This window comes from Homo sapiens, chromosome 11, assembly GCF_000001405.40.
Source record: "Homo sapiens chromosome 11, GRCh38.p14 Primary Assembly".
Lineage (NCBI taxonomy): Eukaryota > Metazoa > Chordata > Mammalia > Primates > Hominidae > Homo > Homo sapiens.
Genome location: NC_000011.10, coordinates 60371043 through 60396108, shown reverse-complemented (window position 1 = coordinate 60396108; position 25066 = coordinate 60371043). Strand labels below are relative to the sequence as shown.

At 41.2% G+C, this 25066-nt stretch overlaps 1 protein-coding gene across 4 annotated transcripts, besides 3 other annotated features; it reads right to left on the bottom strand.

Annotated features, from left to right (window-relative positions):
• Positions 1–160: 160 nt before the first annotated feature.
• On the bottom strand, positions 161–17577 carry MS4A7 (membrane spanning 4-domains A7). Of its 4 annotated transcripts, none has more exons than NM_021201.5 (7): positions 17445–17577; positions 12821–12980; positions 10887–11021; positions 9336–9392; positions 6513–6719; positions 3323–3424; positions 161–2322 (listed from the first exon to the last, which is right to left on the bottom strand). In NM_021201.5, exons 2-7 carry the CDS (start codon positions 12965–12967, stop codon positions 2248–2250), a joined length of 723 nt encoding a protein of 240 aa, NP_067024.1. In that variant the 5' UTR covers positions 12968–12980; positions 17445–17577; the 3' UTR covers positions 161–2247. The 4 variants fall into 4 exon arrangements, with proteins under 4 accessions (NP_067024.1, NP_996822.1, NP_996821.1 ...); NM_206939.2 differs by having other exon boundaries at positions 17493–17577; NM_206938.2 differs by lacking the exon at positions 10887–11021.
• Positions 6543–6612: an enhancer, noted in NCBI's record as "active region_4769". NCBI's record gives its function as "activates an Ori minimal core promoter by ATAC-STARR-seq in GM12878 lymphoblastoid cells {active_cell/tissue: GM12878}" and the evidence as "EXISTENCE:reporter gene assay evidence [ECO:0000049][PMID:35858748]".
• Positions 17576–17625: an enhancer, noted in NCBI's record as "active region_4768". NCBI's record gives its function as "activates an Ori minimal core promoter by ATAC-STARR-seq in GM12878 lymphoblastoid cells {active_cell/tissue: GM12878}" and the evidence as "EXISTENCE:reporter gene assay evidence [ECO:0000049][PMID:35858748]".
• Positions 18306–18545: an enhancer, noted in NCBI's record as "active region_4767". NCBI's record gives its function as "activates an Ori minimal core promoter by ATAC-STARR-seq in GM12878 lymphoblastoid cells {active_cell/tissue: GM12878}" and the evidence as "EXISTENCE:reporter gene assay evidence [ECO:0000049][PMID:35858748]".

Genomic DNA, 25066 nt, shown 5'->3' with positions numbered 1-25066 from the left:
AGGGGCAAACTCAACTTGACCTGTCTCCAAAATCTATGTTTTTTAAACTCAGCCACGCTTCTGCCCTCCTTTGAAAGGAGTTTCTTTTACTTGATGAATTTTCTAACTTACTGTTTAACCATATTTCTCTGTATTATAAAAATCAGTAGATAACTTTGAATTTCGATTTTTTTCCATCTTTATTGAGGTATATTTGACAAATAAAAATTATATATATTTAGGGTGTACTACATGTTTTGATATACATATACATTCCAAAATGATTACCACAATCCAGCTAATTAACATATCCATCACCTCACGTAGTTATCTTTTTTCTTTTTTTGTAGTGAGAACATTTAAGAACATTTAACAATTCTTTGCATTTTCAAATTAAACAAAAAAAAATCAGTAGTAAAGATGCTATAGGACCAGATGGAGTTGCCCCTTTATAACAGAGAATATTTTAGCTTTCATAAAGTTAAGCAAAATCTAATGATAGTCAAATCCTTCCTGGTTTGAACTACACAAATACTAATTAAAACAACAGAAACTGCCTTTAGAAATTTTGCTTCCCATATTGATCCTTTATATTCCTAAATTTATTACAATTTTAACTATGAGATCATGAAGGTAAATTGTTTCATAAAACTAAAACCAATGTATACACATAATAACTTGAGTATTTCCTGGTTTGTAGCGACCATCGATAGCAGGGTATCTCAAAATGAGCACTGATGACATTTGGACTCAATAATTCTTTGTTGTAGAAAGTTATAAGATATATATATTTTAAACTATGCTACTCCTCATTTATTTAGGAAACCTCATATGCATAGAGAGTGCAAAGTTAAACTGCAGCCACACTGGAATTTCCATAATTGCCCAAGAAATCGAGTTTAATGCAGAGGCTCACACAGAACATATTACACAAAGAACAGACAAGATAATTGCAGCAATGACTGGGAAGAAAGAATACGCCCATGTGGTACAAAGTGCAGGGGTGATGATCTGAATTACAAAACTGTGCTATAGATCAAAATAGAGCTAATACCCAAACAAAGAAATAGACATTATTCTTTTCAGCATGAGCAGCATTTAGCTCCAAGCTAGAAGCAGAAAACATGCCAGTCAGAGATTATCTGTAACTTGTTAAGACTAAGATGTCTTCATTGACTCCTACCCTGAAATGACAGAAGAGAACATAGTTTATGTGCCAACGACTGAATATTCTTTTTTATTTTATTTTATTCATTTATTTAAAATAAATGAATTCAAAGACTATATATAGTCTATTTTTATTTTTATTTATTTTTTTATTTATTTTGAGATGGAGTTTTGTTCTTGTAGGCCGGGCTGGAATGCAGTGGTGCAGTCTCCGCTCACTGCAACCTCCCCTTCCCGGGTTCAAGTGATTCTTCTGCCTCAGCCTCCCAAGTAGCTGGAACTACAGGTGCGCACCACCATGCCTGGCTAATTTTTTGTATTTTTAGTAGAGACAGGGTTTCACCTTGTTGGCCAGGCTGGTCTCAAACTCCTGACCTCGGGTGATCCGTCCACCTCGGCCTACCAAAGTGCTGGGATTACAGGAGTGAGCCACCGCGCCCAGCCAAGAAGGCCATTTTTAAACAATAGAATGAGCACCACTGGTTGGTGCCACAGGATTGCAGAGATTTGGATTTACATGGTAAGATTCATGGGAGGCAGGGACATGCTTGCTGTGTGTTGAGAGGTAATCCTAAGCACTTGAGAAGATCTCTTTGCTGTCTTCCACCTAATGGCTCATGAAAAAGGGCCCAGTAGATCTGTTTCTCAGAGAGTGTCCAGGGCAGAGTAGTTTAATTATATATAGTCTTTAATTTTTAATTAAAGTTTTCTTACAATCCCTAATATGTAATATTTAAGCAATATGAGTGTGAAAATAATACAGAAACAGCCTGCAGAGTCACGCAACTTACCAAATTCACACTAGCATGAGTGCACATTTTCCCTTCTGTGTATCACCTTCTGCTCAGTTTACCCAAAGCAGTTTATAAAGTTTATGACCATTTTGGAAGACTGGCTGATAACATTTATTGACTTGGGCTTTGAGGAAATTATTTTCAAGAGAAATTAAATAACGACTCATAGTAAACAAATACAAAACAAAAGCTTTTTTTTTTTTAGTTTGTTTCACAGTATCTAAAATGGCAGAGATTTCAGGAAAGTCTAATCACACTTGACCATGAGTGTTGAGTTGCTTTTCCTTCCTCTGAGGCCAAGAGTTACTTATATCCAAGACCGTGAAGAACTCTTTTTGACCTGTTGGATATGATCTTGTGACTGGGTCGAGGAAAATGAACTCTAGAAAATACATAATTGGTTAGAATTTTTAAACTTTGATTTCGGAGATTAAAAAAGATAACTCATAATACCTTTTCCCCAAGTTTTGTGTAGTACTAGTTCTTCCAACTTTGCCATAATATGTAATTGCAGCAATATTAATTAAAAATAATGCAATTCTCCAGTCTGCTAATTATTTTACTATTTTAAATAGGATCATAGTTAAATCATAATTCATCCAAATTCTATAAACATTTCTTTTGTTGTTGTAGCCTTTAGGGGAAATGAAAATATTTTAAAATTATAACATCAAGAGCTAAGGGGATGTAAGGAAGAGCACAGGGAAGCATAAACAGGACAGAGACATTCTAGTAAAGTCTCATCACATTAACAAGGAAACTTGGCTAGGGAGACTCTCTCGGGAGGCAGGTAGCTGTGTTCCCGATAAAAGTGAGGGGATACGCGTTCTCATTCTCAGCCCAATAGTCTGTGTCATTCATTTTCTATGTAATTTTATCCAAGCCGTGGTTCTTTCATGAGGGGTTGGGCTATGTGATTTCTAAAACCAACTAGCTTCATATTAAGCAATTCTCTAACTGGTCTGCTTCCCAGTAGACACCAGCTGATCCCAGATGACCAGAGTGTCCTCCAGAAGGAGCCCATTTATACAAACTCTTTTTTTTTTTTGAGACTGAGTCTCACTCTGTCACCCAGGCTGCAGTGCAGTGGTGTGATCTCAGCTCACTGCAACCTCCACTTCCTGGGTTCAAGCAATTCTCCTGCCTCAGCCTCCCAACTAGCTGGGACTACAGGCGTGTGCCACTGCACCTGGCTAGTTTTTCATATTTTTAGTAGAGATGGGGTTTCACTGTTAAACTCATTTTTTTAATTATAAAAGTGGCCTTCCACATGCACCTCATGAACAATAATTGATTCTTCTTTTTGCCACTTTTTGAGGTTGGATTATTGTAGCCTGGACCTGAGACACAGCAGGTATCAGGCGACATGTCAGCATACTCACCCCAGGGTTGTTGGAGTAGAGCTGTTTCCACCAAAAGACAGAACTGTATGCAGCTAATAAGAGCTCCAGCACAGTGAAGATGAGCATCACCACTAGGACACCCTGCAAATCAGGACATGAATGGCTGGTACCCAAGACAAGCTAGCCCTTGTGCCTGGCTAAGAGGAGACAGGGCGATGAGGCTCCAGCAATGCAGAGAAAAGGAGACAGGGAAAATTGCTTAATCCTCTTTTCTGCTTTCTTTTTCAGATTTCTTAATAGATGAAGGGAAATAAGCAGCAACGGCATCATCTCAGAACTTTGGTATCCCACCTAATGATAGATGAGAGTAATCTGCCACTTATCTCTGGTTGCTTTTATTATTTTCTTTTTGACTATGGTGTTTTTATTGTCATGATGATATTTCTAGGTGTGTATTTGATTCTGTGTATCCTGCAGTGGTCTCAATGCATTCCTTCAATCTGAAATCTCATGTTTTTATTAAATTCTAAAAAATTTCTAGTTATTTACTTTTGCATATACTCTCTCTTTTATAATCTCTCACTGGGACTCCTACTAGATATGTACTGAACCTCTCCACTTCCCTGCATCCATCATACCTTTTAGGCTTTCATCCATCTTTTCCAAACACACATAATGTGTTGTGTTCTGTGTGATTTAATCAAATCTAAATTCCATTTCACTCTTTGTTTCCTTGAATATATTGAATCTGCTGTTTAACTGATCTGCTCAGTTTTTAATTTCAAAGACAATTTTCATTTCCAAGTATGTGATTTCATTTTTTTCTCAAATGCACATATCTTTTTTTTCCTTTACTGTCCTTTTTTTTTTTTTCCATTTTGGTTTCTATTACTTTTTTTTTTTTTTTTAGACAGGGTCTCATTCTGTCACCCAGTCTGGAGTGCAATGGTGTGATCTCAGCTCACTGCAACCTCTGCCTCCCGAGTTCAAGTGATTCCCCTGCCTCAGCCTCCCAAGTAGCTAGGATTACAGGCATGTACCACCCTCCCTGACTAATTTTTGTATTTTTAGTAGAGACAGCATTTCACCATGTTGGCCAGGCTGGTCTCAAACTCCTGGCCTCGGGTGATCCACCCGCCTCAGCCTCCCAATGTGCTGGAATTACAGTTGTGAGCCACTGCACCTGGCCTGGTTTCTATTACTTTTTAAACATCTTTAATGATTTAAAATGTATTTTCATAATAGCCTTGTTCAAATTATTATGTTATCTCCAATTCTTGAGCTTCTGACTTTCATGTTTCCCCATTTGCTGCCGCTACTCATTTTTTTGTGCTGTTGTTATGTTTCTCATAATATTTTGGTTATTAGATAACTTCAGTTTGTAGATGGTGGTAGTGGTAGGGTTCTTTGATAGGGAGGCATCTTATAAGTTGGGTTTACGGACATCTCCTTAGATAGTAGTTTTAGATTTGATTCTGCTAGAACCTTAGAAGTTTCACATATCTCGTAACAGTTTTTAACTTAATGCTTTTATTTGAGGTCCCCCTATTTTATATGTAATTATGAATTCAGATGGCACACTTGCACAAAGCTTAGTGAGCTGACGGAAGGTTTTCTTGAAACTTCTTGGGATGTTGGGCAGAATTTTCCTTATATTATTTTCACAAATTGAGTAAATATTCAGTATCAGCTTTCAACATTTTTGCAGGGTACTCCATATGAGCTTTATGGCCCTGTCCAATGCCAAATCTTGTCATGGATGTTAAAACTGTGTGATCCTAGCCTCTAATACCAATATTCCTATTCAGACTTCCTTGGTATTTTGGCCTCAGCTCTTGTTTGATGATTTGGCTTTAGGATCCTTCTTAGCTTCTGGAACCTAAGTCATCTTTCTTCTTAGATTTGTTTTTCCTTCTGCCCTCCCTTCCTTTCTTCTTCCAACTTTGGCTATATATTTTTTAATTTTTAAAATTTCATTACTTTTGTTCAGGTAATTGCTGTGTTAATTAACAAAGAGTAGGCCTTTGGAGTCTGCTTAGTCTGCTATGTTGCAACTTCTCTCATATTGTAGGAAGTTCTTTTGGACTCCAGTTGTCTCAGAATGGGAAGCAGTTTGGGGTAATGAAATTCATTTTCTTTAAATTAAACCCCCAATATGCCTCTCCCACCCCCATTGCTTTACCACATGTCTGTCCTACACCAGGATGACACTATCTACTGGGTTTCCTCCAGACAGGTCTCTGTGCTCTTCCACTTCCTCAAGCTCCTGAACCAAAGGGGTTGCTTTTGACAATCTCTGGGTCACATGAGCAGACCCACAGGAGTGCAAAAGCTTGCACACATTTTCTGAGATTTGTGAGATAGATGGATCCAAGGGAATGAGAGATACTACCTTGGGTTCCCTGTGCTCCTACTAGGAGGATTCATAGAGGAAGAAGTCTTTCTTCTTAAAAGGCCACTGGTTTATGGTTTTAACACCATGATACTATATTTATAGGATTGAATAAGCAAGGCTTGTCACCACGAACAGGTAGTGATCATCAAGTTTGGGAGAAAGGTGCCAAGAAAATGCTGCCCAGAGAGGTTGACATTTTTTCTAGAAGTCAAATCCGTTGTCTCCCTTCCCACCACTCTCTGTCAGCCCTGTTAGACCAAAGTACAAAATAACTATGTATTTGGACTTAAGGTTCAAGTTTTGTGCCTAACATAATGTAGCATACAGGCTTGCATTTGAAGATTAACTTAAACACCGTACAGCCTCTGCTAGTCCTCAATTCACTGATGATCAGAAGACAAGCATCTTTAAGGGGTAGGGGCATCCAACCCCTGGAAAAGAACCCAAAAGAATCCCAAATTAAAATATAATTCAAATGAAGAATATTTCTGCCTGTGATGAGTAGGAAGAATATTTCTGCCTGTGATGAGTACAACAAAGGTTGTACTTTAAGAGTTAAACCCATTAAGGTTGGAACGTTTGTGATTAAGAAAGACCAGTGGAGGGATAGACTCCCTACTGTCCTTCATGATTTCCTCTTTTGACTTTCTATAGTACATCCCCCACACCATGCAGTCAGCAGACAGGCCTCTTCCAACCACAAGTTTTTGTTTATTTCTGTCTGTCTCCAGGCATTCGGACCGACCAACCAGAGACTGCCAGAAAAGCAGAGAGTATGCAAAGGGGAGACACAGAGATTTCACATGACAGGATATTCAGTCTGAAACTACTCACTGTTAAACTGACACTGGTCAGGAGACAATCTTTGATTTCATATATTGGATAATAGTACTCCGAATAAGGCAATGAGGATAGATAATCCATTTCTGAGCCACAATGTTGAGAGGCAGTCCTCAGGGCTACCATGCTGTCAGCAAGGAGGAAGAGGCCTGCTCCTGCAGTAACAGAACTCACTGCATTTGAGGTCAAGCTGCTCAGGTCCTGGAAGAGAAACTCTGCATTGGGTTCTCATCACAGAATCAGCACGTGACACTATTAGTCCTCTGTCCATTGTACTGCAATGGTGCTTCCTTGGGTCTGTTTCCTTCCTGTTTCCTTGTGTGGGCACAAACTGTGTTTTATTCATCTTTGTATCTCTTGTCGCTATTTAGTTAATCATGTGATATAATTAGTAAATGCTTATTGAATAAGAAAATGCATGGATAATTCCTCCTTAGGGAGAGGGGTTCTGGCCCATTGACTCTCTATAGCACTCAAGATAGAGACAGTGCTGCTCAGGTCACTGCCAACATCTCCCATGACTTCCTCAATAGCCTTAGAATCATTCTGTTGCCTTCAGGGCTTCTAGAATATGGACTTCGGTCCCCTCTGGTAAACTGAATCCATGACTTTGATTTACATAAAAGAGCAGCTTCAGAGAAAAGGTGGAGGCAAACTGGAAAAGTTGGAAAACCTATCTATAGGTCTGTGGGAACATAAAATAGGCTTTCAATTGACAAGCAATTGATCTTGAATTGACAATCAATATTTGTTCAATATGACAAGCATATGCCTTCGATTTTCCTAAGTGACAGGGCATGAGGCAGAGGCACATGGGCTTAGACCCTGTGCTTCTCTCTCCACCCATTCACAAACAGAAATATTATCAGACTGTAGCCACTTTTCCCACAAACCTTGGAGGGAGAAAGGGAGGAAGCAGCTATAAAGCCTTTGCTTCTCTCCGTAGCAGCCTTTCTCTCTTCCCTGCCACACACCCATAGAGGTGATTTAGGGAAAAGCCACATCCTGACTCAAGAAGATACAGGGCCTGGCTAGGCACAGATGAGGACACATGGATGGTGCATGAGGCTGGTATATGCTCCTGATGATTGAAGCTGCAGTCTAGAACCCAGGATTATGGAAGAGGGTTTTGAAGAGTTCACAGCATTCATTGGTTGGAGTCATAGTTCTGGACTTAGAAACTGAAATCCTCTCCTCCTATCCCAGCTCTGTCACTGACCCATCTGTCACTGATCCATCTGTGTGCTTGAGCAAGTCCTTCTTACTCTGGGCTTCAGTTATCTCTTTTATAAAATGTGGAAGATGAATCTTCTGATCTCAGAAGTGGCTTCCCAAATGCACTGAATACACAGAAAGGGAAATCTATGCTTGGACTTGACAACAATGTGGGCTCCACAAGTGGGACAAAGAACAACATGTGGGCTCCATTGCTCATATGGTAGCTTTGGGCAAAGATACTGCCCACTGGGACTACTTTTCCTTCAAAGACTCAGCACATGAATCCATATAGCTACAGAGCTGGAGTAGAAAAGGGCAGGACAACCATCCTTCCCAACATACATTGTCTTCCAGTGATGCTTAAACAGAGAGGAGCATGTGCTGGAAACCTCGCACAGAGCCTGGCACATCAGTGTCTTTGCTAGTGAATCGTCATGCTATGGGAGAATCCTGTCTCCTAAAATGTAGAAGAGGAGTTGGGAAATGGTGTGGTGAATGTGGTTCTCATAGGCCTGATCCACCTGTAGGTAGGTATTCCAACTTCTTCAGTTTGCTTTTGTCTTTTCTCTGAAGCCGCTCTTTTAAGTAAGAAGACATACATTGGGTTTCTAGGGAGGGACCAAAGGTCATATTCTAGATGCACTTAGGGCAATATAATAATTCTAAAGTTGTTGAGGAAGCCAGGGGTATGTTGGCAGTGGCATGAGTGGTATTGTCTTTGAGTTTGGTGCTGCAATCAGTGCTGACATTGCAGACATCCCCCTCACCCCTACTCCATCACCCTCATTTTCTCCCACCTTACTTTAAACTGATTTTTTTTCTCAAACATCCAATTATCAAGCATGAGTCTTTGGATGGAAATAGTCTCCTCCAGCCTGGATGAAGACGGCAACACCCTCTTCTGACAGGGGAATGAATGCCTCCCCACCTGATATTTGACTGAAAGAAGTTTATTTCAGTTGCTTAAATAGTAGAACTTTGAAAATATATCATGGACTTCTTTCAACTTGTTACCACGGTCACAGAGTAGGGTAAACCAGTTATTCTGCTTTGCCTGGGGAGTAAGGGGTTTCCCAGGATATAGGCTTTCTGGGCTAAAACTGAGACAGTCCTGGGAAAACCAAACAATTGGTCACCCTGACGCTGAAGGGCTAGAATTTGTGTGAAGTCCCAACTCTATGAATGGGGACATTTGGCATCAAAAAGAACCCCAAGAGGCAGGTTTTATAGAAAAAAGGATCTGTAGGCTCTCTCTGGGATGGGTGGCTACCTTATTCAAGGTCAAGGTTACAAGCTATAAAGAGTCCATGGTACATTTAAAAATGTACACTTTTTAAATAACTGAGGTAAACCTCCTCCAAGCTTGGAATATAATCCAGGAGCAACATTGTGTAGACGAAAGAGCACTGGTCTAGAAGGCAAGAAATTTGGGCTCTACTCTTGGTTCTACCAATGGGACAGCCAGGAAAACCTGGGCTTCCTAGCCTGTTCTAAGCTTTTTCTCTCTAAATTGTAAAATAGGGATTTTTAAACTAGAAGAATTAACTCTGACGTTCCTTCAATTCCAACCAGCTGAGATTTGATGGTCCTTATACTTACAAAGGGCTTAGTTGATTGTTTTCCAGAGATAATTGAGAGGGATCCAGTAATGCCAAACTGCCCAGAAGAGAGAGAAATGATCAGTTCAGTTGTCTTGTGGAAATGTGCCCACCATGTCACTGTCAATCACTCAATCAAAAAGTGATGTTGGAAAACTTTTAGGGAGAGAACACTGCAGAAATCTTGTGGATCTATATTGCTAGATAGGCCTAATTCCCACCTGATATAAGAATGTCTATATTGACTTTGAATGACATGCAGATGCACAGAGGGGTTGGATTTGTTTTAGTGGAAATCACTAGGAACTGAGGAGGCCTGGAGAAAAGGTGTACCTGGGAAGGAGAAGAGTGTTACTAAATTACAGGGTTGAAAGAGAGGAGGTTGAGATGGACCAATGACTTGAATGGACAGAGAGATTGGAACAGCCAACAGAAGCACTCAGGAAAGAGGCTCTGATGGGACAAGGTGCAGAAACACATGGACTGGAAGTTATTGGTGTATGTTGCTTGAGTCAGAATGGGAGTCGAGGAAAGTGGGAAGAGCAGGCTCAGACGTGAAGTCTTTATCATAAAGCCCCAGAAATCAGTATTTAATCTCAGTGGTATTAAAGATCCAGCTGGCAGAGGAAGGGTATTCTGAGAAGCTGAAAAGTTGCTTAAGTGTGTGGCTTGGATATTGAATAATCACAGGCAAAGAGGGTCCAGTATGAGCTAACGCTAGCTTCTCTAAGGAGATGTGGGGCCCACAACCACTGGTTACAGGAGAAGTCAAGGACAAATTGTGCTCTGGGGCAGGACCAGGGCCTCCTTATGTGACTGCACAGTTTGTGTTCACACAGGGACTGTATCCACACAGAAGTGGTACCTTAGTATAGTTCATTTGCCCAGAATATTTGATTTTTATCCTTTGTACCAAATACTACGTGGAGAAGAAATAACCCTTTGTGGGAAGTGTGAGTCTGCCCTGGCCACTCTCTGAAAAATGGATCTACTGGGCCCTTTTTCATGAGCCATTAGGTGGAAGGCAGCAAAGAGAGTTTCTCTAGTGCTCAGGGTTACCTCTGGACACACAGCAAGCATGTCCCTGCCTCCCATGAATCTTACCCTTGTTAATCCAAATCTCTGCAAACCTGTGGCATCAACCAGTGGTGCTCGTTTTATTGTTTAAAAATGGCCTTCTCACTCTCTACCTGAAAAGTTGATTATTCTTACAATGGAGGGAATCCAATGGCCTCATCAAAGCCTCAAAGAGGGATATGGAAAATCATCCACTTTTCTAGAGGTATGCTGTAATGCCAGGTAAGAAATTCTGTGCTGGTATACCCATTGTATTACCATTCCCTCTTGCCCCCTGCTCTGCAGGAAGACAGATTAAGTCTCTCTGCTGCTCTTCTTGAATAGGGGAAATGTGACGTGGGGCAATGATAGAAGGAAAGTCGAGGCCTTGCCGCCTTTTGCCTCCTGGCCTCTTGGAGTCTGAGTCACTCCACGACTATGCACCTGGTTAGCATTTATAAAGCATGTCCCCTCTTAGAGTCCCCATTCTACTCACACACAGAGCTCCTAAAAATGGGTACCCAGACATCAAAGTGGTGGAAATTGCTGGATTGAAGTGGGAGGGGTAGGGAGCAAAAACCAAGATGGCCCCCAGACTTGAAATCAACAGGCAACACAGGATCTGGACAGTCTACAAGAGAGAAGACAGGAAATCTAGACTGCACTTCAAACAGATAAAAGTGATTATTTGAATGCACACGGTAAAGTATAAAGAGTATAAAATACATTATAATTTGTTATATTAAAGAGGAAAAATGTTACAAGGAGCCAATCGATATGCTTCTAGAGAAAGTCATGTATAGCTAACCTCTTCTTTTCTGATAGGATTATTAAACCAGCAAATCGGAAAGTGATCATACACACATTTTAACTTTTTTTGAAAAAGATACTTGACAGTTTTTAAATTTATTTTCTTGAAAAGTAGATAAAAAAGTTGTCCAGTGAGGTGGAAATAGAGAGCAAACTTTTCACAGGAGTGTTAATGAAGAGATTTTTCAGTTGAAATTAGATAGAGCAGGTCATCTCTTCTGCTGTAATTCATCTTATTTTGTTCATCATTGGATTTTAATAATAATTATTTCGCAAGTGGAAGAACTGAAGTTTAGCTGTTAGCTTGCTCTAAAGCCCATGCTTTTGCTCATAGTTTAATGCATGTGCAATTGAAAGATGATGCAAACATAGGAGAAATAAAAAAAGAAGTCAACCATTCACATCATCAACAGTTATTGAATACCACAACAGGTATGTTGTGTGCCAGGCACGAGGGAATGAAGCAAATGAAAATCACTACCATTGGAGAGCTTATATGTGTACTATGTCTTGTCTGTAAAGGTACAGACAAGTTCCATGCAAGGCAGAATAGAGTTAAGAGCAAAGTAGTAGGACATGAGGCTTGTGAAGTACTGGAGGCATGGTACAAACTATGTAGGGATTTTTAGGCTATGTTTTACCAACTTTGCTTTTCATTTTGAGCAAAAAAGGAATCCCACTGGATAATTTTGAGCCAGGAGAATACATGATCTAACTTTCATTTTTAAAAGAGTACCCTACCTGCTGTACTAAGAATAGATTGTAAAGAAACAGGGCAGGGAGATCCATCTAAATAGGCAGTGAATAGGACCTGGGTATTATAAGAGGGTATTCAAAACCACATGGAGATTAAAGTTCTGGATATGAGGGATGATGATCTGGGACACTTGGATGTCTTATAGTTACTCATATGAACGGGGAAAAATGGGTCATGAGATTAGTCTTGATCGTCTCATCTCAAAATATTTGAAAAATAAGCTCAAAGTTAATTTAATCATATTGAGTAAAATCCATATGGTTAAATAGAAAATTTTTACTGTACTAATGACAAAATAAGAAAGACTAATTTGTGGCTGGGCACAGTGGCTCATGCCTGTAATCCCAGCACTTTGGGAGGCCAAGGCGGGCAGATCACAAGGTCAGGAGTTCAAGACCAGCCTGGCCAGTATGGTGAAACCCCATCTCTACTAAGAATACAAAAATTAGCCGGGCGTGGTGGCGTGCACCCATAGTCCCAGCTACTCGGGAGGCTGAGGCAGAAGAATCACTTGAACCCAGGAGGCGGAGGTTGCAGTGAGCTGAGATCGTGCCACTGCACTCCATGCTGGGTGACAGAGGGAGATTCTGTCTCAAAATAAATAAATATATAAATAAATAAAATAAGAAAGACTAACCTGTTAATTGTGAAGCATGCTAGTGAAAAAGATCTAGTGGTTTTAGTTTCTAGAAACTGCTGCAGAGCTTTAAGAGTCTTCCCTTAAAGCTCCATTTCATGTCCTCATTAGCCTGGAGTCAGCCAGAAAAGAGTGAAAGAGTTTCCCAGACCCACTGTAGATCTGTAGTCTAGATACATTTACAAAGTATTTTCTCAGTATTCCCCTTATAATGAGGTGGACTTACCCCAAGAACGGTGGTTTCTGTTGGCAGCCCGTTCTGCAGGTAATCTTCGTTTTGGTACATGTGTCCAGGTTTCTCTCTTTGAGGGATAGTGATGCCCTTTGGTGTAAAGCTGTGAGAAACCCCCATGGTTTGGGATTGTAATAGCATGATGCTGATGATGCTGGAAGAGGCATCAAAACTCAGTTACTTCCCAAGGTTTGACTTACAGACATAAACTTCCCAGGGACCATACTTTGTAGGAACTTAAGAAGGTATTTGCCATTATTCCAAGGCTGGTTGTCCTTCAGAAACAAAACATGGGGATCAGTGGAGCATTGGAAAGTGGGCATGCTGGGCACAGTTCATCCATTGTGGTCAAGAAGCATGTCACTGGGAGAGTACTGTACACATTTTGAGGGGTCCCACAATTGAGAGGTGAGCAAATCACATAGAACTTGCTTTGTAGCCCTGAATGTGTCCATCTCCCTCTCCCTCCAGTGACCTCTGCTTCCAGCTTCCCTTCCCTATCTCCTGTATCTCTGCTTCACTTGTGCTACCTTCTCACACCACATCTTCCAGGATTACACTTTTATGCTACACCTGCACTGATCAGTCTTCTACTCCAGTCTTCATTTTGTCTTCGTAAAAATGTTGAGGATGAATGCTGTTCCACTTTCCTTTCCTATAGCGAGATGGCCTGTCCCATCCGGAATCTTCCTCCTTGCTTATATTGGCTTCGTAATTAGTAATGTAAACATTTACTTAACTCCTGCTGAATTCCAAGCATTAGACCATTGCAGCTCTAATCCTTATAACAACCCTGTAACTTACATGTTATTAAATCAATTTTATACATTAGAAACCTGGGGCTAATAAGCTCAAGTGACTTTTATTGAATGAAATAGTCACATAAAGTACTTAGCCTGGCACTTAGAATGTGTTCAATATATGGTAGCAAATATTAACAGCCTGTGTTTACATGACTGGATTGAGACTTGTCTGGCTCAGACGCTTGTGATATTTTTTTCTCTATGCCATGTTAATTCTCCTCCTCTTCCTCTTCCTTCCTTTCTTCCTTCCTAACATTTCCAGTTCCCTTGTAGATTCCAGGAGCAAGTTGTCTGCCACCACTAACTCAGCAGCATTGCTGGGCCTCTGTGGTGTCAGCAACAAGGCTCAGCACCTGAAATGTTGCCCAGATTTGTTTTCAGCTCAACATTCTCCCTACTGAAGGCCAGAGTTTAGTTAAAGGCTTGTCATCCTTGAAAGGTGCCACAGCTCTGCTGCCTGACATTTTGCCTCAATGTGTTGGTGCTTTAGGAATGGTTCTGGCCTCTCTTGGGTGGAGTGAAGAACATGTAAAAATTGGAAATGACACCTAGAATCTCTTCCTAGTGAGGGAGATGGAAAAGTGCACTGGGATGGGAGTCCAATGCCTAGGCATCTAGTTGCACATCTGACCATATGTCTTGGAGTCCAGTCGTGTGTTCAGATCCCATATCCACCAGTTACTGCTAAACTCACCCTGGGCAAGGTATTTTCACCACTTCATAGGTTTGTGGTACAGGTTGGATAAGATGACACATATAATGGACTCAGCATAGGGGGAGGCATGTGATAAACTCCCAAAACATATCAGTTTTATCTAATATTCATTGGAAGCCCAGTTCTGATATTGATGAGCTGGCCGTAGGCAGGATACTTTCCCTCATTCATCCCCAGTTTCCTTATCTGTAAAATAAGGATAATGACACTATCCTGAAGGACTCTTGTGAGGATTTGAATGACACACGTGAGTGTCTTTTGTTGTAACTCTCTGAGTTTTATCAGGTGTTCCATAATAGTCGATCCATGTTTGGACCTCCATTTTATTTCTACTCCTAGATCTGTGCCTTAGTCTAGTTTCTCATGCTCTCCGGGCATGAGATACTTTATCTGAAGAATTATTAAACCTAAAGTTCTCTTTGTTTAAGGAGATAGTTTTCATTTCTTGGAATTTTGAAATCTGGGTAGAAGTGTGGGTGAGGTTACATGTCCTATGAGGGGAATAATGTTGAAGCTGAATCCCTGCAGTGGAGTCAGGGTGAGCCTTCCAGCACATCTTTAAAGCCAGAGAAGGAGAAAAAGTGTCAGGCTTAGAGAAATTCTAGGTTCCAGAATCAAACAGTAGTTCATGATAAAATGATAATCATTGCTAACATTGATTGGGCACGTACTATGAATGTGGCATTCTATTAAGAGCTTTGTGACAGTCTCATTTAATCTGCAGTCTCAGAGATGGGTGCTGAACTTTGAAGATAAGAAAAATGAGGCTTGGAGAGGTGAAATAGCTTGTGCAAGATTGCTTATCTAGCAGGTAGTGGAGGCAAGATTTGGGCACAGGCCATCTAACACCAGAGCTCTTCTATATCCCTGTAGGTTTGTTCTTGCCCGGCTAGCTACAACTGATTCTCATCCTCTCTATTCTTCCTCCCCTATTGTTGAAGCATTGGCTGCCACTCATCAGTTCCATATCCTCTCCCAGGGACATTGCTGATCTTAGGGAATATAGGTTGAAGATTTCTTTTTCCCAACTTGCTTTCATGTTGTAGAAACTTGGCTTTTACCTTGCTCTGTGTGGCTCAATAGCCCAAATATACCAACTAGACTCCTTCCTACTAGTCTTCGTCACCAGCCTCCTGAGTTCTGGGTTCCTTTCTTTATTTTTCGAATCTCATACCTAAGGACTGCAGAAAATGCTTGATTCTCAGCCTGAAGCTAGGACTCGAAAGTTTAATTGATACTTTCAGGCTATAGCCTATCTGATACCATGAACATTTATTTTCCTTTGTTATTTCTTAACTGTTTGTTCTGTTTGAAAGAGTGCATAAAGTACCACCATTACAAGGGAATACAGTTTGAAGAAGAAAACAAATTAGCTCCTTAACTTTCAACTGCCACCCGATCACTCTTGTTTCCTATGCACATATTCTTTACATTCTCTCTTCCCATCTGTCACTTTATCTCTCTCCTCTTTATATATGTTCACAGACATTCACAATTCTACGGAAATAGTCATTCTATCCATGCCATTTTATAACTGTTCTTTTTGTACTCAACATTATTCTGTAGACATCTTTGACCGATGAATAGAAATAATAAAAAGCCTAAATTTAAAAGCAAATGATAGATTCTGATACATGGCACAACATGGATGAACCTTGAAGACAATATGGCAAGTGAAATAATCCAGTCACAAAAGGACAAATATTGTATGATTCTACTTATGTGAGGCACCTAGAAGAGTCAAATTCACTGAAAGTAGAATGGTGGTTGCCAGGGGCTGGCGGGAGAGGGGAATGGAAAGCTATTGTTTAATGGGCACGGAGTTCCAGTTTGGGAAGACAAGAAAGTTCTGGAGTTGGGTGGTGGTGATGGTTGCACAATGGTGTGAATGTGCTTAATGCCACTGAACTGTACACCTAAAAATGGTTAAGGCTGGGTGCAGCGGCTCATGCCTGTAATCCTAGCACTTTGGGAGGCCGAGGCGGGCAGATCACCTGAGGTCAGGAATTCAAGACCAGCGTGGCCAACATGGTGAAACCCCGTCTCTACTAAAAAAATACAAAAATTAGCCAGGCATGATGGTGAGTGCCTGTAATCCCAGCTACTCAGGAGGCTGAGATGGGAGAATCGCTTGAACCTGGAAGACAGTGGTTGCAGTAAGCCGAGATCACGCACTCTAGCCTGGGTGACTGAGCAAAACTCTTTCTCAATTAAAAAACAAACAAACAAACAAACAAAAAACAACAAAAAAACACATGGTTAAAAGGCTACAATTATTTTAAGCATATTTTACTACAACCAAAAAGCCAAATGGTATATTTAAATAAATGGAGGTCTCTAGATTCATTTAATCAATCACATGTTCATGACTATTTAGGTGGTTTCTATTTTTTCTTTTTGCCACTATGAACAATGCAATAATGAACATCTTTGCACTTTTGTGATACCTCCTGCATTTAATTATCTCACAGTGATGTATGGAAGTGGAATTATTACATTTAAATCTATGACACTTGAATTTAGATACACGTTGCTACTTTTAGAAGGAATCCTATATAACCAAGATTCTTTATGTTTCACAAAAGTCTCCAGACTGATGCTATCATCTCCAAACACCACAGTCTGAGAGGATGCTTTGTCCTTCCACATTCGCCTTGAGGAGATAGACTGGAGGGACCCACAGCTTTCAAGACAGCTCTAAAATCCGTGCTTTGAAGATAAATCATGACATGGAGGTCAACAGCTCTGCCCAGCAATTTTCTGTATTACAGAATTAGAGTAGGACCATGGGGTTCTAATGCAAGATTCAGTCTAATTGCACAGTATTTGTTGAGAGTAGACTCTGTAAGACTGAGTGACACACCAGGAGAATGCAGAACATTGAGGAAAATCACCTCAATGAGGGAAACCTAAGAATGGTTTTACCCAATTTTCTTATTTGACAAGTGAGTAAACTGAGACCCAAAAAGGGGACTGAGCTGACGCTCCAACTCACACAGGTGGTCAGAATCAGAGACAGGATGATAATCCAATTCCCTGGCTGTCTTTTCAAAAGCACACAATCTTCCCCAAAAGTCATGATCTAAACCAAGGTGTCTACCTGTTCTCGCAGCCTGGTCCTGTGTGCTGTGGCTGGGGATCAGCTCACCTCTGGGGAGCGCTCAGCTGGAACCTCCCACTGGCTGTTCCTGCCAGAACGATCTTGGTGCTCTGCTCTCCAGCCTCTGAGACTTCCTGTCCCTTTCTTAGAGCAGTATTTATGATTACACAGGATGTGAATTTTGCTGTAGTTACAGACAGTTGATATATAAAAAGTGCCTCTGCTTCCTCTTTCTAAATTCTGAGGTCTGGCAAAATGACACAAGATAGAAGTGACACATGAGAAAAAGACCTTTGTGCAGACTAGTGATTTGTACGGTCCCAGTTAAAATTCATTTTCCCTACTCCTACATAGAATTATTTAAGTCATCTAGTTTTGCTTAGCCTGAGTTTTCTTGTCTATTAAATAAATGGTGGATGGATAATAATAATTCCACTCTGTGGGTGTTGGGAGAATTAAAGAAAAAAGATGCAAAGAGTTTACAAAAAGTAGACAATAAATATTGATAATAGTAATGTTAGTTTTGAATTTTGGAGAATCTATTCTCTCACTTTCCAGGCTCTTGGTAAGCTGAAAGCAACCTGTGGAAAATTCCGTGTCTCCTTGTTACTTCTTTTGGGTGTTTCCATTCTCCATCTTTGGCCTCATGCTCAGGGAAGTCCAGGCACATCTTGGGAAAGATGCCAGTGGATTGGCCTCAGAGGCAGAGTCATCAGGCTCCACACAAGCTCATATTTGGGGAAGTATTTGTTGTTGAGGGGACACTGTTGCCACTTTCACATCCCTTTTAAGGCTTCTTGTAGACTAGCCATTGTTCAGAAGGGTAGGGTTTAAGATGGCTCTGGGACATGCAGCAGCTGGCGGCACAACATGCTCCATATACAGTCTCCATTTCCTGAAGGGTGGCAAGGCTATCCCCTAAGAGAGGAGCAAACCTAAGCCTGGGAGATTTAAATAACTCATAAACTACTTGGAGGGTATTTTAGTCCAGTTCTTCTCCAAATGAGGTGATATTGCTGAAGGAATCTGCCCCCAGTCACATGTCTAGTCTGTGGAAGAGGCAGGAATCTAATTCACATCTCTTGGCACTGAGGTCTGGGCTTGCTTCATGGCAAGAGTCTGCCATTTGGTCAACATCTTTTTTTTTTTTTGAGATGGAGTTTTTTGCTCTTGTTGCTCAGGCTGGAGTGCAATGGTGCAGTCTCAGCTCACTGTAACCTCCACCTCCCAGGTTCAAGTGATTCTCCTGCCTCAGCCTCCCCAGTAGCTGGGACTATGGGTGCCCACCACCATGCCTGTCTAATTTTTGTATTTTTACTAGAGACAGGATTTCACCATGTTGGTCAGGCTGGTCTCGAACTCCTGATCTCAGGTGATCCACCTGCCTTGGCCTCCCAAAGCTGGGATTACAGGTGTGAGCCACTGTGCCCAGCTTAGTCAACATCTTCATATCCACAACAAGCACTGTCTTTGCTTAAGAAAACTTCCAGGATCCAGACCTTCCTCTGGGTCTATGACCTGTTTTGACCAAATTGTTAAAGAACCTTGGTCATTTGGGCTTCTTTCACACTTCTGAGCCTCAGAAGGAATTCGTGAGAAAATCAGTTAAATATCCAGTTCACTTTCTCATAAAATTTGAAAAAAGATTTTTCAGAATTGTTGTGAGGATTAAGTCAAATAACATAAAAGTCCCCACCATAGAGCCTGACATAAATGAACCATTAAGAAAATCTGGTATTTCTTGTCCAACATCTTCTCCCACCCCCTTTAGAGAAAAGTGTATTTTATCTCTAGATTGATCTCTGATCTCTAAGTGTAATCTATGTTTACTCTAAATTCATGCTCTTTTCCATTGATGGAAATCTCCTCAGCCCTTTGCAAACAGTCCTGGTGCTCTAGACAGGCAAGTGACTCACAGTCCTAGTGCCTACTTCAAGGATACGATCTCCCCGCCATCCCCACCCCAAGCAGACCATGAAGCTAGTAAAATGGAAATGCGTCTTATATGTTGGAGGACTCTAACAGCCTTGGACAGACTAACTGTATTTTTTTTCTCTAGCAGTGGAGATGACGGGCTGGGGCTAGGGCACAAGGTCTGGTTATCCAGAGAGAGATTCCTTGGAGCAGTGTTCATAGACCCCCCTGATGTTTGACTTGGTTATTGGCTCCACTCACGGAATTTTCTCCCTGTTTCTTAGAATCTCGTATCACGCCACCGGAATGAAAGTGAAACGATTTTTCCCCCCAACTTCAGCATTTTACAGGTGGGGAAACTAAAGGCCAGGGATTGCTTAGGGAGTTAGTAGTGACTGGGCTGTGGCTGATTCATGCAGTTTCTATGTCTGTATTATTTCAGTGTTTTCTTTATGCCTTTGCAGTTCTTTAATACACAGGTAATGACTCTTTCTAGCAAGTATTCTCTGCTAAAATAACAGAAGGTTTCTGTCTTTTGGCTGATAACCTAAATTACAGAGAGGTTAAGTAACTTACCCTGTCACACACCCTAGAAAGTAATGAAGTCTAGATTTGAATCCAGGTAATCTTAATTCAGGGACTGTGCTCTGTGATCGTTTTTTTTTTTTTTTTTTTTGACGGAGTCTTGCTCTGTTACTCAGGCTGGGGTGCAGTGGCGGGATCTCTGCTCACTGCAAGCTCCGCCTCCCGGGGTCACGCCATCCTCCTGCCTCAGCCTCCCAAGTAGCCGGGACTACAGGCGCCCGCCACAACGCCTGTTTAATTTTTTATATTTTTAGTAGAGACGGGGTTTCACTGTGTTAGCCAGGATGGTCTCGACTCCTGACCTCGTGATCTGCTCGCCTCAGCCTCCCAAAGTGCTGGGATTACAGGCGTGAGCCACTGTGCCTGGCTGGGACTGTGCTCTTAACTGCTATATTATTACTTCCAGGAACTTGCTTTACTGGTCATCTGGACTTGAACAGTAAATCCCCAAACCTGGTGTGAGACCCTACCTTCCAAGTGAAATACAAACAAATGGTTATTTCCTGGTGCTCTTGATATCAGAATTGCTGGGACTCACCATTCAGTGATGATGAATAGGGCAAAAGAATGCAATTATCTCAAATGGGGATGAGGCTGAGCATCTCTAGCTTTGTATAACTGGAGGCTACACATGACAATGGGCATGATGGGATGACTAAGCATGGGGGAGTCTCTTTCTACACCATCCTCAGCAGCTCTGCCAGGTTTCTGCCTCTCTTGGTCTCTGCCTCTGCTGATCTCGCCATGCACACAGCAGGCCTCGCGTAGTACTTCACAGAAAATCTCCTTACTGAAAAGGTGTAGGGCACAACATTCCTTTAAAAAATTCCACATGAAAAATATTCCTCACTTTTCATTGAAATACCACAGTTTGAGTGCTTCTTCTGTGCCAGGCTGTGTTCTAGGTGCTTGGATTGCATCAATGGACAGAACAGAAAAAACCACCTTCCTCTATGGTGTTTTCATTCTCCTAGAATGTTCAAATAGAACAGTGAGGAAGCATACTACATAGTCCTAGTAATAAGCCTAGTAACAAGGTGAATAGACCAATGGAACAGAACTGATGTTAAGAATAGCATTTTACTCAGGATTAAGAAACTGACTCAAAACCACTCAACTACATGGAAACTGAACAACCTGCTCCTGAATGACTACTGCGTACATAAAGAAATGAAGGCAGAAATAAAGATGTTCTTTGAAACCAACGAGAACAAAGACACAACATACCAGAATCTCTGGGACACATTTAAAGCAGTGTGTAGAGGGAAATTTATAGCACTAAATACCCACAAGAGAAAGCAGGAAAGATCTAAAATTGACACCCTAACATCACAATTAAAAGAACTAGAGAAGCAAGAGCAAACACATTCAAAAGCTAGCAGAAGGCAAGAAATAACTAAGATCAGAGCAGAACTGAAGGAGATAGAGACACAAAAAACTCTTCAAAAAATTAATGAATCCAGGAGCTGGTTTTCTGAAAAGATCAACAAAATTGATAGACTGCTAGCAAGACTAATAAAGAAGAAAAGAGAGAAGAATCAAATAGAAGCAATAAAAAATGATAAAGGGAATATCACCACCAATCCCACAGAAATACAAACTACCATCAGAAAATACTATAAACACCTCTACACAAATAAACTAGAAAATCTAGAAGAAATGGATAAATTCCTGGACACATGCACCCTCCCAAGACTAAACCAGGAAGAAGTTGAATCCCTGAATAGACCAATAACAGGCTCTGAAATTGAGGCAATAATTAATAGCCTACCAACCAAATGGCTCTCATGGGGTGAATAAGCTTTAACATATTGAAACGAGGGGAGTTTTCCCTTATCCCCCTTGCAGGGTGCGTGATGGGGGTGTGGCTCACTTCTTTGGTGCCCCGCAGCTCAAACCCCTAAGGGAAGCATGCAGACGGGCAGGTCATGGGGAGCGTGGGCTCCGACTCCATGGCAGCATCTAGGGTTGAGTGTTTACAGCTCCCGAAGCCCAAATGGGTGTATGTTACAATGTGCTCTTTCAGCTTAGCCGTCCGCAGGCACCTTGCTTTAATGAGCTCAGTTAGACCCTCTACCTTATCGCAAGGACAGAGGGCTTTCTGTATCCCAGGGTTCTTGCCCAAGTGTCCCAGAAAAATCAGATCATATGTGGGCTTGGAGAGTGAGTGCAAGGTTTTATTGAGTGGTGATAGTAGTTATCAACAGATGGACAGGGAGCCAGAACGGGGATGGAGTGGGAAGGTGGTCTTCTCTGGAGTAGGGCTGCTCAGCAGCCTGGCTCTCCTCCAACCACCCTCAGCTGAATTTCCTTTGGTATCTGCTTTGTTCTGCCATCGATGGTCTGCCAGCAACTGTTGGTGTGTTCTTCTGCCAGTGTGTTCCTCTTGACATCCAGCCACTTGTGTGTGTATACCCACTAGGGTATCAGGGTTTTTATAGGCACAGGAGGAGGGGCATGGCTGGCTTGGAAATGCAACATTTGGCATGAAAACAGGAGTGCCTGTCCTCACCTGGGTTTGTGGGCAAAGGCCGAGGGTGGAACCTCGCCAGGGACCCTGCCCTTCTCTACTTAGCACTTCCCTGCCCCTCTCCCATATCAATATGTTGATGGAATTATTTAAAAAATTGTTCTCTAGGCTAGTGTGAGAATCCTGAAACTGTTCTGAATATCAGTCTGAAGATGCAAATGATAGACAGTTAATGCTTGTAAGGCCCATAGCTATGGAGATGTGGTTGACCCTAATCATGAATTTTGCACATTCATTCTCGAAAGCCCACCTGAGAATGGTGACAGTGGCACATAAGAGAAAAAAGGAGGAAAAGAACAATAAAAAGGGCAAAGACAAAGATACCTATTATGTATTTAGGGGCTCAGAAAACAATACCCCAAAACAATACCTCAGAAGCAAAAGTTTTTCTCTGACTTCCTTTCCTGTCTCTCAGTCCTATCTTCCTTTGAGGCTAGCTGTACAAACAAGAATCCCTCCCCAAGGTGGGTCATAGAAACCAGACACCCCTCTTGCCACAGCCAGCCTTAAAACCTAAAAGTGTTACTCTAACTCTCCTTCCACTCTATCTGTGTAAAACTGGTCATAAAGAAATCATCTGAGCTATCTTGTTTGACTGTAGGTCATAAGATGCCCATTCCAGAGATGGTCCTGTCCTACAACCAAAATGAAGGAATGCAGCACAGAGAGGCCAAGAAAAACCTAGACAGACGGGTCTTGCTCGGTTCTAACTAAGCCTATTAGCATAGATTATATCCAGTCATATTTCTACAGGGCTGTCCTTACTTCGTTGAACCTAAGCATACAAATGGATACTTTCCCCTATATTTTTTGGGTCTTCATTCTGAAGGCCCTCATGTCTATGTGTTGAATAATTTGTATGCCTTTTCTCAATTAATCTGACTTTTACAAGTTGACTTTTCAGCGAAACTTCAGAGGGCAAAAGGGAAGCTATACCCTTGGCCCCTGCAATGTTCTTTTTTTTTTTTTTTTTTTTTTTTTTGAGACGGAGTCTCACTCTGTCGCCAGGCTGGAGTGCAGTGGTATGATCTTGGCTCCTCGACTCACTGCAACCTCTGCCTCCCGAGTTCAAGTGATTCTCCTGCTCCAGCCTCCTGAACTGGGACTACAGGTGCATGCCACTACGCTCAGCTAATTTTTTGTATTTTTGGTAGAGACGGGGTTTCACCATGTTGGCCAGAATGGTCTCGATCTCTTGACCTCGTGATACGTCCGCCTCAGCCTCCCAAAGTGCTGGATTACAGGCATGAGCCACCGTGCCCGGCCCTGGGCCCCTGCAACATTCTTGCCATTCTTGTAAAGACTCTTGGAAGCTCCAATAAATTCGAATCCCATCTCTTAGTGATAGTCATTCAATTCCTCAAACATAGACATATTTACAGGCAACTGTGATTCTTTAGTCTGTAATAAACTTGGAGAGAGGTCAGATAACTGTCTTTTAAACTGGGGTTTAGAAGACACTGGGATTGTGTGTAACCACAACAGGTGCCTTGCTAATCCTCTCTAGTACAGTCTCCCAAAGGTGTCTTTATCTCCAATATGACATCCTGGCCATTTTATAGGTTTGCATTTTATATCTATAAAGTTTGCTTCATCCTATGCCCTCCTTTGCACTACCACTGATCTTAGCCTATTAAAATTGCAATGATTTCTATCTCCCAACAGCAGCTGATCTGCACTATTGCCCAGTAATTTCTCGAAATCAGAAGGACTTAATTCCACTTTCCTGATCCTCAGAAATCATTATATTCTTCAAGTTCCCATCCCATTTCTGTCACATTTGTCCATAAGATAATCCCATTTGTAGCGTCTCTAAGACCTAAGACTGATTGAATTTAACAAAACAATTTGTTCCAATAATTTGCCGTAATTAGGAGAGCTAAGTGAATTTTATGAGTTCTCCTTCTTTTTTTAAAAAAATTGAATACTATTAACACTTTCTGTTAAAAAGGGCTTAGTATAAAAGGGTTTCTTAAAACTGGCCTGGGACCAATATGTGTTTGTCTGTTTTTTATTTCTCCAGATCACGCTTTACTTCCTCAGTGAAAATGCCATAGTTCCTTTTTTTGTTCACGTTTTCCCTTTTTTCCCATAGAAGTTTCTGGTGCCTATTATTACAAATGTTAACAAACTCTTAGAAATATCTAGAAATCAAACAAAGCTGCATTAAATCTAAGAGACTTCACAATCATGTTACTTTCCCTCCCAAGGTAGACAAAAATGCATTTTCCCTTTGTTTATTCCACCAGGGAAAACTCAGAAAAAAAAATCTTATTAAATTATAGGTTCTATAGCCTTAATTCTTTATAGCTCTGCTCACTATCCACAGCATAGAAGAGCTTCTTTTACTCACATATCTTCCTGGAAGGTATGTGAGTCATTCCTGTGACATTATGTGGATTCTCCATGTCAAGGAGGGTCTGTTTATTTTGAACTGGCAGTTCTGGAAGTATGTACACATGGCAAAGTCACACATCTGATTACCGTACGTTATTGTATGTGTAGTGAAAAACTAGGAAGCCAATATTTAGTTAATGGCTAAAGAATCTATCTGGGCTAAAGTGACTACTAGAGACCTGGGTAGACACACAGA

Coding starts and splice junctions, on each gene's coding strand:
- MS4A7 (NM_021201.5), bottom strand. CDS start 12,967: ATGCTATTACAATCCCAAACCATGGGGGTTTCTCACAGCTTTACACCA. Junction 9,393..10,886: donor CATTTTTAGGAGCTCTGTGT/GTGAGTAGAATG, acceptor TCTTCTGGGCAG/TTTGGCATTACTGGATCCCT. Junction 3,425..6,512: donor TGACCAGTGTCAGTTTAACA/GTGAGTAGTTTC, acceptor CCTGATTTGCAG/GGTGTCCTAGTGGTGATGCT.